Source organism: Homo sapiens, chromosome 1 (assembly GCF_000001405.40).
Source record: "Homo sapiens chromosome 1, GRCh38.p14 Primary Assembly".
NCBI lineage: Eukaryota > Metazoa > Chordata > Mammalia > Primates > Hominidae > Homo > Homo sapiens.
Window position 1 is genome coordinate 84396761 of NC_000001.11, and position 19189 is coordinate 84415949.

Genomic DNA, 19189 nt, shown 5'->3' on the forward strand with positions numbered 1-19189 from the left:
CCACTTCCTGGGCTCAAGCAATCCTCCCACCTCAGCCTCCTGAACAGCTGGGACTACAGGCATGTGCCACTATGCCCGACTAATTTTTTTTTTATTGTTTGTAGAGATACATTCTTGCTATGTTGCCCCGGCTGGTCTTGAACTCCCAGGCTCAAGCAATCCTCCTGCCTTAGCCTCCCAAAGTTTTGGGATTACAGGCATAAGCCACTGCGTCCAGCTGATAATTTTTAAAAAAACTTTTAAAAATTGACAAAAAGGTTGGGGTTGTTGAAATCCTTTTTTCTGAACACAGGAAGAAAATATATAAAACAAAATGAGAACAGGCACAGTGGTTCATGCCTGTAATCCCAGCACTTTGGGAGGCCGAGGTGGATGGATTCCCAGGCCGAGGTGGGTACACTCCAGCCTGGGCAACAAGAGCAAAACTTCATCTCAAAATAATAATAATAATAATACCAATGGAGGAATGGGTAAGAAAAATATTTCTTCATTTAACCTGCAGAAAGCTGTGAATCTACCAAATACAGCATAGTCTTGGCCTCAGGGCAGTGAGTTTCAAACTTTAGGGTACACCAGCATCACCAATAAGCTTATTAAAAATATAGATTCTTGAGCCCAACTGGAAGAATTCTGATGTAGCAGGTTTGGAATAAGTCCTAGAATTCTGCCTTTTTTGCAGGCACCACAGGTAATTGGGCAGGTGGTACAGAGTCCTCCTCCCAAAACTCTGTCTTAGGATAGAGACACAAGCCTTCCCCTTTTCTATGAATCCTGAGAATTGTGAACAGTTCTAGTGCAACCACAGAGGTAATCTGATTTACAAGGGTTCAGTTTGGTCTGGATCCTCTGATCTGGAACTATTATAGTTATCATTGTGATTATCAGAGAGACAGATTAGGGGCAGCATTATTTCCAGGCATGATGTAAACTGCTATTTATTATGATGGCAGCTTTAATAATTGATGCAAAAGTATGCATTAAAGAAATTATTTTCATATGTCTATCTACTCCTTCCCTGATTCACAAAGAAATTGGTCTCACCTTTTTATAGTTGTTATGGTAGTGGGCCATTTTATTTTGGTTTTCTACTTCAGATTCAGCTTCGAGAATGAGAAAGCATAGTTTGGGCAAAATAGATGTTTGTAACATTTTTTATTAACCTGAAGAGTGGGTGATCAATATGTTTACCTATTGCATAGCAGCCTGAAGCACCACATTGAGTGGCTAAAACCAGGAAGATGGAGAGAATATGTAAACATCTTTGGTAAAATACAGTTAAATTTACTGTTACTTTGAAGCAACCCTTTGAAGTATCCCTTAGCAACTGGTTCCTTAAGACAGAGATTATTAAGTGACAGATCCTAATTATTACTAAGACATAAGGTTTTATCATTTCTGTTTAATGTACGAACCACCTGCATTTGCTCTCATTCATTGAGTCAAACAGGAGAAGACATGAAATATATTTAACATCTACTTATTAAAATGAAGTCCCCCTGCCCAATGAATTTCATACAACAATGTTCACTCCAAAGAGTGAACTATCTTTCCCTATTTTTCTGCAGAACTTTTTGATGACTTTGCAAACCAGTCAACAATTCAGCACAAAGGCATCCAGAGTCACGCTGGCATGTTGTGACAGAATCGCACAATTACATGGGATCCATCCCACTCTGAAAATGCCCCGAACAGCGAACAGCACAGGTAAATCAAATCAAACGTCAGAGCCAGCACAGCCTGAGAGCGCCTTGAAACTCAGACTCCACAATCTATGGGGAAAGTGTCCTGCTGTGGCATGAAATAAATGAAACAGAAAATGATGGCAAGACTGCTAAGAACATCCTTTGCTTTGCTCTTCCTTGGCCTCTTTGGGGTGCTGGGGGCAGCAACAATTTCATGCAGAAATGAAGAAGGGAAAGCTGTGGACTGGTAGGTAAATGAAATGGAAGGACTGCTGCATGCAAACAGCCTCGGTACAGAGTTGGCCTGGCTCACTGCGAAGTTCCTAAGGGGAATGTCCATTCTCTTTCCTCCCTTTACAAATAAAGGAAGTTAAAGTGTGCAAATCGGCCAAACTCCCAGGCAGGGGTAGGCTTCTGAGTGACGGAGTTTCCCCCTGAAAAAGAGCTGAGCAGCCCCTCTTGGGCCTGATTCACTGTTCTCAGCGGGGCAAGGCTGGTAGCCACAGAAGTGGGATTGAGCTGACAGCTTCTGTGAGCTGGCAATTTCTTTTAATTACATCATGGCTTTTCCTAACAGAACACTTCCAACATCCTTTGAAAGACTGACAGAGTAAAGAAGGCAGATTATTTTTTTCTGAAAATGGAGCATGTGCTGCTCCTTATGAGAAAGAGAAGGGGGACCTGGTCACACACAGCACTGTTTGCCTAACATCGGTTTGTTTGGAAGCAGAGGCAGCTGTTGCCATGATTGGTACGTAGGCCACTGGCCTGTTGTACAGTGTCAAAGACATTAAATGCTGTGTTGCATTATAGTCATGGGTTCTCCTAAAGCTTTAACTACTTTTTCACCCTTTAATTGGGATATTTAGGTTTGCCATAATGGTTGGTGTCAAGCTTTTTGTGTAAACTTCAGGCTACAGAACACAGATATACTCAAGGCAGTAGTCAGTCTTTCCTCAGTTACTGAGCTCAACAGAGGTCTGTGTGGAGTTTTGAAAATATAAATATGAACGAAACATGGTTCCTACCCTCAAGGACCTCACAGTTATGTGGTAAGGGCATAGGTGGAACACTGGGGAACAGAGAGCCCAGAAAACTTCTCTAAGGATGTAATTTTTGAGCTAAGTTTTAAGAACAATTAAGAAGTAGCTGGAAAAAGAAGGGATGTGCAAGAGCATCTCAGGCCAATGAAGGAGCAATGAGGAGGTAGAGAGGCAAGAAGCAACATGGAAATTTGGGAGTTGCAAAGTAGTTTGGTATTGCTGGAACTTCAGGAGAATACAGGAAGATGACCGGAGGTGAGGTTAGAGAGGTGGGGACAGCCAAGGGGTCTGTGTGCTGAGCTACAAGGTTTGAACTTGACATTGAAAGGGAGCTATTGGAGGACTTCACGCAGGGGTGTGAATGGTCAGATTTGCACTTTAGGAAACCCATTGGCAGTACTATGAGGGCTGGATGGATGGGGAGCAGCCTAGAATCACTGAGACCAGGAGCACTTTTGCAGCATTACAGGTGAGAAGAGGTGTAGACCTGAGTTAAAGAAGCGGTCATGGAAATAGAAAGAAGGACATGCTGAGAAGACTTGGTGATGGATGGGCTGCAGCCAGTAGGAGAAAGGGAGATGTTAAGAAATAATTTTAGGTTGGCCAGGCGTGGTGGCTCACGCCTGTAAGCCCAGCACTTTAGGAGGCCTAGGCAGACAGATCACCTGAGGTCAGGAGTTCAAGACCAGCCTGACCAACATGGAGAAACCCCATCTTTACTAAAAATACAAAATTAGCCAGGCATGGTGACGCATGCCTGTAATCCCAGCTACATGGGAGGCTGAGGCAGGAGAATTGCTTGAACCCAGGAGGCGGAGGTTGTGGTGAACCAAGATCGTGCCATTGCACTCCAGCCTGAATAACAAGAATGAGACTCCGTCTCAAAAAAAAACAAAAAACAAAACAAGAAAGAAAAAGAAAGAAATAATTTTAGGCTTCTGCTTCTGAGACTGCATGAATATGTTCCCTAATAGTGTGGGATGAGCAGATTTGGAGCAAAATATTATAAATTTGGTTTCAAAAATACGGAGTTGGGGGTTAATGGGACATCTTTGAGTTTAGGTTTCTCTGGACCTCAGCAGAAAGGTCTGGGCTAGAAACAGACTGAGGACTCTTGAGTACATAATTAGAGACAGTCACCCAGGAAAAATGTTTAAAAGTACTAGCTCTCAACTGGTGTGCCACGGCACACTGATAGTTCACAAACCCTTCACTGGTGGGCCACCAAATTGTGATTGATATGGAAAATCATTTTTGCCACAAGTGAATGGACATATTACTTAGCAATGTCTGTTAGAGAGAATATAAGCAACTTGTTGCCAAGCTGCTAACATTTATTGAGAAAGGTAAGGAAAGAGACCATCAAGTCAGCACCAAAGAATAATTTCATGTTTCCTGCCACATGTGAGGACCTGACCCTGTAAGAAAGCATAAGCAGGGCAGGAAAGAGTTCACTTAAATTAAGTATAAGACCGAAGGGGACCAAGTGAAGAGTGTGCAGCTTTTACGGGTTTGTGACACTGTTGTATGGTAATAGTGTATATATTATAATGTTTGGTGCACTGTGAGTGTTTAGGGGTTAATGGTGGGGTTCATGCTATTAGAAAGTATTTGGCTAGATCAGTGGTTCTCAACCGAGGGTAATTTTGCCCTCAGAGGATTTTTGATAATGTCTGGAGATAATTTTGATTGTCACAACTTGGCAGTGCTACTGGCATCTAATAGGTAGAGGGCAGGGATCTTACAATGCACAGGACAGCTCCCACAACAAAGAATGATCGGCTGAAAATGTGAATAGAGCACACTGAGAAACGCTGAGCTAGGTAATCCAATAATGCCTTAATGCTGTCTTGGCTGAGCTACCTCTCCTCCCTGTGAGATATCCAAGGGAGATATACAAATGGAAAACAACAGTAAAGGAAGGAAAGGGCCTACTTAATTACTTGGTTTTAGCCCTGAATCTTCAAGGCAGAGTATTCGGATAAACTGAGCTGAGGAATGCAGCTTATGACAGGGGCTCAAAGTACCTTCCACCTCTCCTGAAGCCCAAACCCAAATCTCATATCCAGTCAGCCAACTGCATGGTCTGGGCCTTGGCCTTCTCTCCACTGTAGCCACATGGATCATGGAAGCAACAGAAAGAGCCACTCTCAATGTATATGGACTTCCACTTCAGGGACTCCACCCACCAGTATAACCAAGGTCTTAGAACATATCCAATCAGATTTTTATTTTCTTCTCTGGGGAGGAGCAAAGATAAGAGTGAAGAAAGAGGCAAAGAGCTTGAGCAAATCCCTTTCCTTAGAGGCCTTCCATGAAACAGAAATGAGAGATATATTAAAGTGTGTAATACAGTTACTGCCACAGGAAAACAGTCAATAAATGTTAGTAATTCATAATCATTTTGTCTGTTAGGTTTACTTTTTATAAGTTACCTAAAAGACAAAACAAGGAAAGTGGAGAGACTGGGTTAGAGTACCTGTACCTAGACTCTACAACTAGAAGCTGGAGGAAGAGTGAGCAACTAATGAATGACACCAAGAGTGTTTTGGGAAGGACATTACAACAGCTATATGAAGCATATGCCTCTAAGGTATGTTATATAGTTAATTGTTCACTTGAATAATATAAAATGCATAAAACTGAATCCAAAGCCTTCACCAGAGTTTTCTGTTCACCCACCCAACCCCCAATCCTAGCACCTTGAAGTGAGCTAGCTCAGGACCAGCTCAAGACAACTATCTGAGTCAATCTGACTAAGACCTGAGGAAACATGTCATCATACTCTACAGCAATGCCAAATTTACTTGGCACCATGTCCAGTGGTGTCACTAGGCAAGGTGTGAATTAATTGTATATTGAAGTCTTCTGGCTGCCAAAATGTCTGTCAGTTTGCTTATTCATCTAATAGAAATAGGGAGAGGAGCCTCTGCTGTTACAGGGCAATACAGAACTGTGATTAACATGCTATGAGTTATGGATTGTTTATATCATGGTGTTGATCAGTGGTGGTGAGCTCAGTAAAGGGTTCTACTTGATCTTCCTTTTCATTAATTGTTTTCAAAATGATATGTTGAAAACTAGGACTCTAGTTCAAGGCCCTAGAACTAACTTGTCTGGATGGAGATTATCCCTGCTATATCTGGACTTTATCAGGCAATGAGCTAATCAGCCAAAGAGACACAGGTAAGTAGGCCTGCTGGCTTATTATGGGCATGCTCCCAATATTCTAGGCATCATCTGTTGCTTAGTTTCAAGATACTGCTTTCCAACCAGGAGTGGCAAGTAAAATCAAGCCATGATTAACATCCAATTATACTCATGTATGCATTTCCTAACAATAACTTATAGACAAGTAAATATATAACATGACTCTGCTCCTATAATATGCTGGACTGTATGCTGGGCCTTTACATATGTCAAGTAATTTAATGCCCACAACAATCCTGTTTTAGCCTCTGGCACTGCACATGTGTATCTGAGTATTTACTCAAAATACACACGGAACTGTCATGGTGTGTGGTAATATTCATGTTATTTACCTGCCATTAAGACTAGCCTTCAGAGCCAAGCTACAAAGTTAAAGCTTATCTGTAGGCTATTTGAGAACATGTGATGTGCCAAGCACTTTTCTAGATGCTTTTCAAAATTATTTGTCTCAACAAACCTGCTTTGAATAAACAGACGACAGCTGACCCTTGAACCATGCTGGGGTAGGGGTGCCGGCCCTCATGCCGTCAAAAATTTATGTACAACTTTTGACTTCCTAAAAATTTATCTACTAACAGCCTATTGGATGCCTTACTGATAACATCAGTTTGACTGGATGCCTTACTGATAACATCAATAGTCGAATAACATGTAATTTTTATGTTATATATCTTATATACTATATTCTTACAATAAAGTAAGCTAGAGAAAGGAAAATGTTATTAAGAGAATCATTAAGGAAGAGAGAATATATTCACTCTTCATTAAGTGGAAATGGATCATCATAAGTGTCTTCATCCTTGTCATCTTCCTGTTGAGTCAGCTGAGCAGAAGGAAGAAGGGGAAGGGCTGGTCTTGCTATCTCGGGGGTGGCAGAGATGGGAGAGGTGGGGAAGGTGGAAGGGGAAGCAAGAGAGGCAGGCATACTCAGTGTAACTTTCACATGAAAATACATAATGAATTCTATCTATTTGCTTTTTCATTTCTCCAAAAATGTTTCTATACAGTAGTAATCATTTTTTCACCATTTGCTTTAGTTTCAGTGCCCGTATCACAGAAGGGTTCATGTTGTAAAAGAAGTTAAAAGCAATCTTTATATTTTTTTCTTTTGAGACAGGATCTCATTCGACACCCAGGCTGCAGTGCAGTGGCACCATAAGAGCTATCTGTTGCCTCGACCTCCCAGGCCCAGGTGACCCTCCCACCTCAGCCTCTGGAGTAGCTGGGACTACAGGCATGCACCACCATGCCTGGCTAATTTTTTTTTTTTTTTTTTTTGGCGGAGGGGGTGGGTAAAGATAGGGTTTCATGATGTTACCCAGGCTAGTCTCAAACTCCTGGACTCAAGCAATCCACCCATATTGGCCTCTGAAGTGCTGGGATTATACACATGAGACACTGCACCCAGCCTAAAAGCAGCCTTGAATGATCAGACTGCGTCTAATATTGATCTGTGTTCTTGCACCACCTCTTCTATGTCTTCTTGCTCATCATCTGGCTCTGGTTCCATTGAGTTATGTTCTGTTAATTTCTCTAGTGTGGTGTCTATTAGCTTTTGAATTTCTCCAGGAATCATATCTTGAAATCCATCACCCCCAACCTTTCTTGCCATATCCACAATCTCTTTCATGACTTTCTTGATTGACTCTGTCATAAATCCTGTGAAGTCATGCTCAACATCTGAACACAGATTTTTCCAGCAGGAATGTATTGTTTTGGGCTTGATGGCTTTCATGGCTTTTCCTATAACAGAAATGGCATCTTCAACGCTGTAATCCTTTCATGTGTTCTATCATGTGTTCCATAGCACTGACAATCCTTTCCAGAGAGCATCATATGTAATGAGTCTTAAAGGTTCTTATGAACCTGATTTAGAGGCTGAATCAGAGACATTATGTTTGGGGGCAGGTGGACAACTTTGACACCTTTGGTGTTGAACTCATGGGACTTTTAGTGCCCGGTGGCACTATCCAATACCAAAAGAACTTTAAAAGGCAGTTCCTTACTGGCAAGGTACCTTCTAACTTTAGAGACAAAGCATCACTGGAACCAATTTAGAAAAAGGGTTTTGTTGCCCAGGCCTTCTTATTGTACAACTGGCAGCTGGTATGTATCTTTTCCCTTCAAGGCTCAAGAGTTAGCAGCTTTATAGATAGGTGTAGTCCTGATTATCAACCCAACTGCATTTGCACAAAACAGTACAGTTAGTCTGTCCCTTCCTGCCTTAAATCCTGATGCTTGCTTCTCTTTCTTACCAATAAGTGTCCTTTGTGGCACTTTTTTCCAGAATAAGGAATTTTCATCTGCATTAAAAACCTGCTCAGGAAGAAATTATTTCCCCTCAATGATTTTCTTGATGGCATCTGGGAATTCATCTGCTGCCTCTTGGTCAGCAAAAGCTGCTTCTCCTGTTATCTTAATTTTTTTTTTTTTAGGCCAAACCTCTTTCTAAAATTGTCAAACCATCCTTTGCTGGTATTAAATTCTCCAGCTTTAGATGATCTACCTTCCTTCTGCTTTGTCATATAGTGACTTCACTTTTTCTCCAATCATATTAGAGTCTATAGTATTCCTTTCTTATAGCAATCTTGCACCCATATAAAAGCTGCATTTTAATTTTAAGTATGAGCTATAAAAGTATTTTGTAAAAAGTGCAAGGTTTTCATGCCTACTGGCATAGCTGCAGTGAGGGCTTCACAAATTTCCTTTTCTTTTTTCACAATGGCTCTTATGCTGGATTCACTTAACTTGAAATGGCAGGCAACTGAAGCTGCAGACCTCAATCCGCAGTACATATCAAGCAATTCAACATCTTCTTATAATGTCATGACTTGTCTTTGCTTGTTAGAAGCATTTCCAGCATCAGCAGTGGCACTCAGTATAGGTCCTACGGTTTTATTCAAGGTTTCTGATATTGCCCCAAACATGATGAAAAATATGCAAGAGCTGTGAGAGATCACTTTTGACTACAGTATGCAATTTACTGGAGAGAACTGCTCACGTGGAGGTTGTTAGTGTCATGTGGCATTTTCAGCAGATATTCACAAGACTTGAGCTCACCTCAATGGTGACAAAAGGTGGCTATAAAATTATTACAGTAGTACAGTATTACTACAGTTAATTTAATGCAGTTATGACTTAGTACTGCATATTTATGTTTGTTTATATTTCTTGACTGTGAATGGCACCATGTTTGGTCTATGTTTGTATATGTAAATTTTGATGAATTTTAACTTTTTATAATAGATTTGTGCATAGTTTAGGGCAGCAAATGAAAAAATAGACTAGTATCTACATATATTGTATGCATTCATAATGTATCTAACTTTTTCTTAATTTTTAAAAATATTTCTAGGCTATGTGGTTCATCTGTGAGTTTTTTTTTTCAAATTGTCAAAAATCTCCCCCTAAATTTTCCAACATATGTTTTTAAAGGCCTGCATACATATAGACCCATGCAGTTCAAACCCAAGGGCCAACCGTATTATATAAAATGAAAACGCCTGCAGCTGCTTCTGCTTTCCAGGTTGGGGATGGGGACCAGAAGCATATCTATTAGTGGGAAAATAATGCCTACATTGTTCCTTTCCACATCAACGAGACTGCTAGGGGAGGAAGAAGGAAAGAGCAACATTGTAAAGCCTCTATCATTTGCCTTAGTTGGAGTAGATAGGCCTTCACTTGCCGGAATACAATAATGATCTTTGAAGGTGCAAAGGTAGCCCCACACCCTAGCAGGGAGACACAGTTAAACTGCTCTGCTAAACAAAAAAGGGACAGAAAGAAGCCAGGGATTAAAAAGCATAAGAAACATGGAGAAAGACTGGGGTAAGGCCTTATGGTGATGTAAAACCATTCAATATTTCTTACCTTTAGTAAAACCTGCCACATGCAATGTCTTGAGTGATTGGTTCTGGGGGGAAAATGACAGGAAAGGGACTGATTTCCATGCCTGATTGGCATAGAGCCAAAAGAAGAGAGCAACAGCAGTTGGTGATATCCAGGTATGACTCAGTGTTCTTTGGAAGCTGGAATTATGTGCCAGAAGTGACTGTGAGAATATTACTCCTCCACCCCCTGACCTGGAATTGAACCTCTGACAGAGAGTGAAATGCAAGATTAGACCAACTGGTTTAAATCTCAAATGTGAAGGTGACCAAGGCCAATAGCTGGGTTACATTTGGAATTGTTTCCCTTCTCTTGCCTTTACAAATAAGAATCTTCCGTGTACCTTCATAAACATTTATCAAACTATATTGCCTGCACTTGTGTGACTATATTTTCTGCTAGACAGGGGGCAGAGACTGTACCCCTCTTGTTCAACACTCAATAGTCAAAACAATACTGAACATATGTGTTAAAGGAATAAAGCTATTCAAAGGCACATGCCTACATCTACCTACTCTTAAGTCCATGATCTTTTCCCTTTATCAATAGCCTCTCTTCCAACTAAGGCTACAATCCACTTAACCTCAGCTGGCAGTTACACTCAGTTAGAACAATAAACTTCATTTATCATAAAAAATAAATTCCTCACTGGATCATCCCAGAATTCCTCCATGTTGTACCCCAAAGGCACACAAATGGCCTCCTTACCACATTCAATGCAGGTTCACAGAGTAACTAACTCTTCAGAGTTCTCCAAATGATGATATGAATGCCATTCAGTAGCTATGATCAATTATGGAAAATGAAGGTAAGAAAACAGCTTACTTTTCGGGGCATTCCTAAGCACAGTAGACAAGAATGCTCCAACAGACTATGTTGTGCATTGAAAAAAAAATTTTATCACATCATATAATTAAGCAACTGTGAGAGGCTTCTTCATTGAATTTGTTTTCTAAGAAAAAAGCAAGGGCCTTTTTTAAGGACATAGGTTATCCTTTCCTGCTTTTAATTATGTCACTCAGATTTTTTTAATATTGACATTATTGGCTTCAATTAAAGTTGTATCATCACACAAATTAAATGGAACCACCTAGAACAAATATTAGCAAGTTTCTAAAACATGAAAAATAGATACTATCGAAATAATAGCTTTATTTTGGCTCTAAGATTTGGCTGTTTGAAAATTGACTCATATTTGGCCTTACCAGAGGAAATCCAATATCACACAGTAAATTTCACCACTTTTTTTAAGCAGGAAAATATCAAGTTGGAAAGGTGAAGTGACACTGAAAAATGGATTGCAGAAAAATCCTCTCATAATGGGAGGAAGGGAGAGCAGATAATGAGGGATCCTGATTAAACACAACGCTACTACCCAGCAGTGAAGTGAAGCACAAAGTGTGCAGAGAAAATCAGATCCTGACAGCCAGTTCTGCACTGTGCCTATAATATCAATGGAAAAAACCTCAGATGTAATCCTTGGTTGGTTGTTCCTACTTCATTTCCTGAACAAATAATTCAGTACTCCTTTATTATACACTGGTTGCTTAATCAGAAACTTGGTTCCAAAACAACCAAGAGAAATAGGAACATTGCCCTCACACACAGATCACAATGCACAGGGCTCCTGTCACATGAGTAAAAATCATGCACAGTTAAAAATGGACTTTCTTTCCCCTGTCTTTCATGTCACAGGCTTCATATTGATGGGGAAGCTGCCTATTAGGGGAATAGATGACTTCTCATGTGTATTAATGAAAGCAATGTATTGCAGGCTGGGTAGCTGGTAGAAATGTTGTGGGCGTTTGTAAGTGGAAGATTTACGCCATTATAACCCTAATATATTCCTGCAGAGTAACAACACAGCCTATCTAATATACAATGATGGAGTCCCTAAACCTGTGAATTACAGCAGAAAGTATGGACACACCAAAGGTATGACAAAGATTCTTGGTTTCTCTTTCCTACTGGAAATCAACAATTTCTTAAATATTTCATCTTGAGTATCCTTATATTCCATACTAAATAGATAGCCTTTCTTCTTAATAGTTTATTTGAGTTATTGAAATGTATGACTTCTATATCACTGGTTATAATATAATTATATGATTTGACTTGGCAATCTCATTTTTAGAAATCCCATTTTATTTCTTAACATATTTTAAAATATTTGCTTTGCAGCAGCAGGAATCCAGGTACTGATACTGAGGACACACACACACACCAGCAATTTTATATATATATATATATATATGCACATGAATATGTATATATGTATATGTGCATGTAGTATATATGTACAAACACATTTTAGTCAGATTTATTGAAGTATGATTTATAGAGAGTAAAACGAGCTCTTCTTAACATACAGTTCCCTTGGAAATATACATTTTTGAAAAAGTATTTTAAATAGCTTTTTATATTAATTTTTATCATGTTATTTACATTATCACATATAATTTTTATTATCCTTTCACAATTTTTTTATTTCTAAACTTTGCATATGTGTTTGTGAACTACAGAAAAATTCAAAATACAGGTAAACAAAAAAATCTATAATCCTAATGCCCATTAGATAAACCATATTTAATCCTTTCTACTTTTTCTAAAATACATATTTTAAAACATTTTTACAAAACTACTGTAATGACTATTTTTCAACCTTTTTTCAATTTCATATATCATAAATAACTTTCCATGGCAACAAGTATTCAGAAGATTCCAAATTCAAATGCCTTCAAGGGAGCAGGCAAATGATGTCAGCAAGTGAAAGGAGGCAGTTACTATTCAACTTGCCTGATACGGACACAATTTTCCAGGAGATGTTGAAAATTAATATTTGTGGAAAAACTCCCCAGTTTTTAAATGTTGGCACTAAATTCAAAGTTTAAAAAATACTCTGCAAGCGCAATAAAATGTATCCACAGGCTGGATTTGGCTCAGAGGATGTCAGTTTGCAGCCTCTGATTTAGAATATAGTTTGTAATGGCTGACAAAGGTCATGAACTTTGAAAGCTTTTTATTTAGCAAAGTTGCTCTCCTGAATACCCTATTTACTGGGAACCCAACAATTTTCATAACATGCTACATTCTTCAACCTCTCCTCCAACAATCTCCCACACTATTCCTGCTCTACCCTGCTAACTGCCACAAGGCTTTGGGGAAATGGCTCTAAAGAAGTAGGGCACAATATCAAGTGGAGGGGTTCTCTTGGCCAACAGATGCCCTAATATCCTATGGCATTTGTACCAGGAGGATAGGATTCCAGCAAATTGGCACACTCATCTGCACAGAGGATAACTCTTGAAGGTTATCCAGTTCTGTTACACACAGAACTTTCAATATTTTCCACCTTGACACAGGTATTGATTCTATTTCCACCCAAAGAACAACAGTATGCTTTCTTAAAATAGGCACTTTGAAAAAAAAATAACTAGAAGGCATTTGGTTTTTAATCTAACACTTAGGCAAACACGAGTGAATCTTATGTTTGCATAGTCATATGCAAACTGGAAAGTCTAGCTATCATACCAAACCTACCATGATAAATTTCTAAACACAAAAATAGTCAGATGTCTGTTTTACAAAGTTCTTTTTGGTATGTCACAAAATGATAAAAATCTTTCTATTTTCTTCCTTATTGGCTTTCAAGTTGTTTATTTTGCTCTAGAGATTTTTACAAACGTAATTAACTAGGATGCTTTAGCACAGCTTCCTTTTTGTCTCTTTGCTTCTTTTATTGGGCTTGTAGAAATAGTGACTCTTCTGCCAATAAATGGGCAGCAGTTTTTTATAACAAATTATTGTGAGTACATTTCTTCATTTGATATTTTCTCTTTCAACTCTGTTTTTTAGTCAGCTTTTGAAAAGAGCCTAGCTGCTTAGCAGTGAAGACACTATCTAAATCTTGCTAGGTGACTGTATAGTTTAACAAGGTCCAATTCCAATTTAGCAAATTTGCATTCTGCCAAAACAAATTTTCCTTGTGATTTCAAAATGAAATTCCTCTTAACTCTTCACAGGATGGCTACCTTGGTTCCCTTTTCGTGGTGGCTTTTTATCAGTAATCAGGCAATGTGATATGTGCCAGAATTGTATTTGAAATCTTTGAAAAATAAGCATGATCCTTGTGATTATTAGCCTAATAAAACACTAGTCTGAAGCATAAATGGGCTTAAATGTTGCCACTGTGAACCCTATTATAAAAGAAGCTTTGTTTTTCTGATTTATCTTTGTTAAATGTGTCTTTGGTAGGTTTACTGCTGTGGAACAGAGTTCAAGGGTTCTGGCTGATTCATTCCATCCCTCAGTTTCCTCCAATTCCGGAAGAAGGCTATGATTATCCACCCACAGGGAGACGAAATGGACAAAGTGGCATCTGCATAACTTTCAAGTACAACCAGTATGAGGCAATAGGTAAAACTAAAGTATGTGAGAAAAAAAACGATAACTATGTTGAAGAAATGATTTGGAAATATATTCATAAATGTGTCACTTCATTTGTTAATCTATTCATAGACCCTCTGATACCTAGATTCTAATACTGGCTTTGCCATGGTGAGGTCTTGGGCAGGCTCGCTTACTGGGCTTTGGCTCTTAATCTACCAGTGCAGTTGTTGAACTTGATCAGGGCAGTAGTTTCAAATGTATTCAGGGGCCTGGTAGATAACATATATGAGTGAAACAGACATGTTACATGGGAAGTGAGGATAGTGATGAACTGGGGTGTTGACTCACCTAGCTTCCCTTAAAGCCTCAGTTCCATCATACTGTGGCTCTACAGGAATACAAGCCTAATGATTACAGATCTCCTTATTTCTCATGAAGTACCAGAAACCTAGGGTGTGTGTGTGTGTGTGTGTGTGTGTGTGTGTGTGTGTGTGTGTGTGTGTGTGTGTGTCAGAGAGAGAGAGAGAGAGAGAGAAACTGATTTCCAAATATGAGTTCAATCTTAATTTTGTTTTTGAAGTTTTCCAGGCCACATGTTCCTTGTAGGCCACAAACATGACACCTCTGAGCCAGATAATCTCCTTTTAAGATTTCAAGCTCAGCGAAAAATTCTTAGATTTGGCAAACTGTGGTGGGAAAGGAGAAGTAGGGACAGGTTGGTAGCTAAATAGTAGTGAAAAGCAACTTGCCTATAGAAACAGGAGATTTAGAAAATGTTTCTCATCAAATTTCCATCTTATGGCAAGGATCACTGAGCTCCTCACCCAAGTCAAGCTCTAGTCTCACTAGTTGAAATCATGTAATGATGCCGAATATCACAGAGATTAGGCATGCACACTGAGGAGATGATGATTCTTAAAGCTTTTTGGTACATGGAGTTCTCAACTTTTGTATATGTATATGTACATTTAGAAGAAAAAATATATGGTCTCCAAGGCCAAATTACCTGGGTTCGAATATCAATTTCATCAATTACAAACTTCATAATCTTGGGTGTGTGATGTAAATTCTCAGTTAATTCATCTATAAAGTAAAGATAATGATAACAACAGAATTTGCCTGATAACATGTTTGCTGTGAGGATTAAATGAATAAACCCATGTAAAACTTGTAGGACCATGTCTGGAAACTAGGAAGTGCTTAACAGGTGTTAGTTATTTAAACAAAAAGTTATTTGAAGGCTATTGGTTTAAAGAAAGAAATGCCTTTGTTTTTGTGTTGTTTTGTTTTTAAATCCACAAAAAGATCTATAATAACAGCAGGTATTTCCATTTGTGTCTTAATTCTCAACTTTTCTTTACTGTTTCTTGATTCAGATTCTCAGCTCTTGGTCTGCAACCCCAACGTCTATAGCTGCTCCATCCCAGCCACCTTTCACCAGGAGCTCATTCACATGCCCCAGCTGTGCACCAGGGCCAGCTCATCAGAGATTCCTGGCAGGCTCCTCACCACACTTCAGTCGGCCCAGGGACAAAAATTCCTCCATTTTGCAAAGTCGGATTCTTTTCTTGACGGTATGAAAGACCATCATCAAACAACATGCTGTATAATTCTGCTGTTGAACTGACTAGGGATAGCTTAGAGAAATATTTTGAGTATTCAGAGAAAGAGAGATGAAAAAAGGGAGCAAAAGAAAAGGAAAAAGGAAAGTCACGGATCAGTTCAAACATCAGCCGGCTATATGAGTCAACCACAAAAGTATCTCACAACCATCCAGCCACGGGCCAGTGAAAACTCAGTCTCCATCCTCTGCTTGGCAAGGGGCCATAGCCATCTCCATTTCTTCCATTCCCTGAGTGGTTATTTTAAGCCTTCTTTACTCTCAAGCCCTTTACACTACTCTGCACCCTCACTCATGGCTTCCTTTTTTCCTTCATAAATAGAACAATGTTCACTAGGGAGAAACCACTTCTATATGCTACCCCCCCCCCACCCCTCCAACAATCTTATCTGTTCTCCTTCCTTTTTGCAGGGTTTCTCCCACCCCCAAAGAAGTGATGCACCCCCTATGCTCTGAAACCTATCTCAGCCTCAGCATACCTTGATTTGTCCACCTGATCTGTTCTCTGTGTTCCATTTCAGTTCTCCCACTCCCCAGGCTACTTTCTCATAACATACAAACATGCCTAAAAACCCTCCCTCAACTCTAAAGCATCTATAGCTCTATTTTTCCTTTTCTTTCAGATTTATTTTTTTAAAACTCATCAGGGCCTTCACTTGCTCAATGTTCCTTCACTGCAGTCTTGCTTCTGTCTGTAGACACTTGAATCTCTCCCCAGTCACCAATGGCTGTCTTAGATGACCTCACTGTCTTCCTTGCTTATTTGCTTCCTTCCTTTATACGTTGAATAAAATTTACTGAATGCCTACTACTAGCCAAGCCCTGTGTTAGGCACTAGAGATCTTAAACTTGACAGGACAGAGACAGTCTCTGCAGAATGTGGCACTGTTGAAATTCTTTCCTTTTTGAAACTCTCACCTTCACTGATTTTGGGGAACACGCAGTCCCCTGGTCTTTCTCCCACTTCTAAGTTTCTTCTGCCAGGTCCTTTTCCTCTGACTACTCTTTAGGTGACTGGGTTGCCATGTGGCCCCTACCCTTCCTTATCTCATTCTACATACCCATGCTGGGCAATTCCAGCAAGCCCTCCAATGATTCTCAAGTCTTGATCTCTACCCCAGACCTCTATACTGACTGATGTATTTAACAGCAAGTGAGACATTTCTACTTGAAGGTGGTACAGCCACATCAAGTTCAACATGCCAAACTCACTGCGTCATCATCCCCTACAAATCTACTTTTTCTTGTATTCTGCATAGTTACCCAGTCACTCCCCATCTCTTCTTTTTCTGACCCTTCTATCAAACCATCAAATTCAGTCAGTTCCAGATCCTTAATAACACTCACATGTATTGTATCTTCTCCAAACTCTTTGCCACTGCCATGGGTCACACCTGTGTTTATTGACACAGTTATTATGACAGCCTTATGTTTTTCCTTTCTTCTTTCTAACCTGTCCTTCCCAATTCATCCTGCCCATTGCCTCTCAACTGATATTTATGATCATAAACCAGTTTCTATTAATTCTTTACTAACATTCCTTTAAAAACTCTCCACTGATTTCAGGAAAATCCAAACACTTTGGCATGATTTACAAAGTTCCCTAGAAACTGGCCCTAATTCCTTCTCTAGACTAATTTTTTCCAAAGGTCTTTCCAGGACAAAGACATATATTGCTTCATTCGTTTTATAGAACAGAAGATGTTTGCAAACACCAACATCATCATAGTAATGATGATAATAACTTACATTTGCACATCACTTTAGCATTTACAAAATGTTTTCTCATCCACTATCTCAATTATGTTGTTATTATTGTGCTCGTGACATCCACATATCAGGGGTGAAAGATGATTTCCATTCCAGAGTATATTTTCAGGGACTAATCTAAGTGTAAATACCAACCTCACTATCTTTCTCCTCCTAAACCCTAGACATCTTTGCAGCCTGGATGGCTCAACGGCTGAAGACACACTTGTTAACAGAAACCTGGCAGCGAAAAAGACAAGAGCTTCCTTCAAACTGCTCCCTTCCTTACCATGTCTACAATATAAAAGCAATTAAATTATCACGACACTCTTATTTCAGTTCTTATCAAGATCATGCCAAGTGGTGTATTTCCCAAAAGGGCACCAAAAATCGCTGGACATGTATTGGAGACCTAAATCGGAGTCCACACCAAGCCTTCAGAAGTGGAGGATTCATTTGTACCCAGAATTGGCAAATTTACCAAGCATTTCAAGGATTAGTATTATACTATGAAAGCTGTAAGTAAACTTGGTGAAAGGACACAGGTACTATCATTGAAAACCTTGACAATGGGTCTTCTTCCATTACACCTTCTTTATATTTTAAAGGCCTGTGAATATACTTATAACCTGCATATCACAAAATAAAACATTTTTCTCTCATGTTTACCATTTAATCTTCTATTTAATGGTAATTTATTTACTTTGCACTATATATCATAGACATAAACCATTATACACAACTGAGAATAGAAGAAATAAAAAGAAAAATATTTTTCCACATTAGTCAACTCCAATTGTTTATGGATTGACTGGCCACCTAGTAGATTACATTTCCTCTCCTTCACAAAGACTTCCCTGACTCTCTTCCCCACCCTTTTTTGAAGAAAAGCAAATAACTCTCTCTGCGTATTCTTCCATACTATTTGATCATATTGCTCCTAAAGTTCTTTCTCACTGGTTTATGGTTAAGACTTATTTGTCATTCTTTCAGCTACTACTTACTAATTGGATGATCTTGAGCCATTCACTTGGATTCTCTGAACCTTGTTTTTTTTAATCTATGAAAGGGAGATAATAGCTAGGTATGTTCAAGTACCTAGCACAGAGCCCGGCACATAGATGACACTTAAAAATAATGGTGGCATTTGAGTTTGAATTCCAGCAAAAAAAAAAACAAATAAGTTTCAGAAATGAGTGATATTTTACAAGAAGAATGTTAAAGTCACATTAGGAGAAAAAAAACTGCATAAGTGTGACTCATCAACTTGAAGGAAATAAAGAAGTGTAACATAATGAAACCAGAATCAAATGCAATAGTCTTTTTTTTTTTTAATAATAGAGATGAGGTCTTGCTTTGTTGCCCAGGCTGGTCTTGAACTGGGCTCAAGCAATCCTCCCACGTTGGCTTCCCAAAGTGCTGGGATTACAGGAATGAGCCACTGCACCCAGCCAAATGCAATAATCTTAATTTCAATGTGTTTCTTTTTCTGGCATTCTTATCACTACTTGTAACTGTTATATAAATGGATAATAATAAACTTGTGTTAAGTACTAATTGCTTAATAATATTTGACATATGTGTTGTTCACAATTTCAAGCAGCTTA

General features: G+C 39.1%; 1 protein-coding gene across 4 annotated transcripts, besides 1 other annotated feature; it reads left to right on the top strand.

The window, feature by feature from the left end:
• The first annotated feature begins 1723 nt into the window (after nucleotides 1-1723).
• On the top strand, nucleotides 1724-18258 carry DNASE2B (deoxyribonuclease 2 beta). 4 transcript variants are annotated; one of them, NM_021233.3, is made up of 6 exons: nucleotides 1724-1929; nucleotides 5141-5318; nucleotides 11677-11758; nucleotides 14078-14239; nucleotides 15589-15786; nucleotides 17768-18258. In NM_021233.3, the coding sequence occupies exons 1-6, from the start codon at nucleotides 1805-1807 to the stop codon at nucleotides 18106-18108; spliced, it is 1086 nt and encodes a 361-aa protein (NP_067056.2). In that variant the 5' UTR covers nucleotides 1724-1804; the 3' UTR covers nucleotides 18109-18258. The 4 variants fall into 4 exon arrangements, with proteins under 4 accessions (NP_067056.2, XP_047282581.1, NP_490649.1 ...); XM_047426625.1 differs by lacking the exon at nucleotides 1724-1929 and having other exon boundaries at nucleotides 5140-5318; NM_058248.2 differs by lacking the exons at nucleotides 1724-1929; nucleotides 5141-5318 and having other exon boundaries at nucleotides 11510-11758.
• Nucleotides 9886-10180: a silencer, noted in NCBI's record as "tiled region #5400; HepG2 Repressive non-DNase unmatched - State 24:Quies". NCBI's record gives its function as "represses a minimal TATA promoter and a strong SV40 promoter by Sharpr-MPRA in HepG2 cells {active_cell/tissue: HepG2}" and the evidence as "EXISTENCE:reporter gene assay evidence [ECO:0000049][PMID:27701403]".
• Nucleotides 18259-19189: the final 931 nt, after the last annotated feature.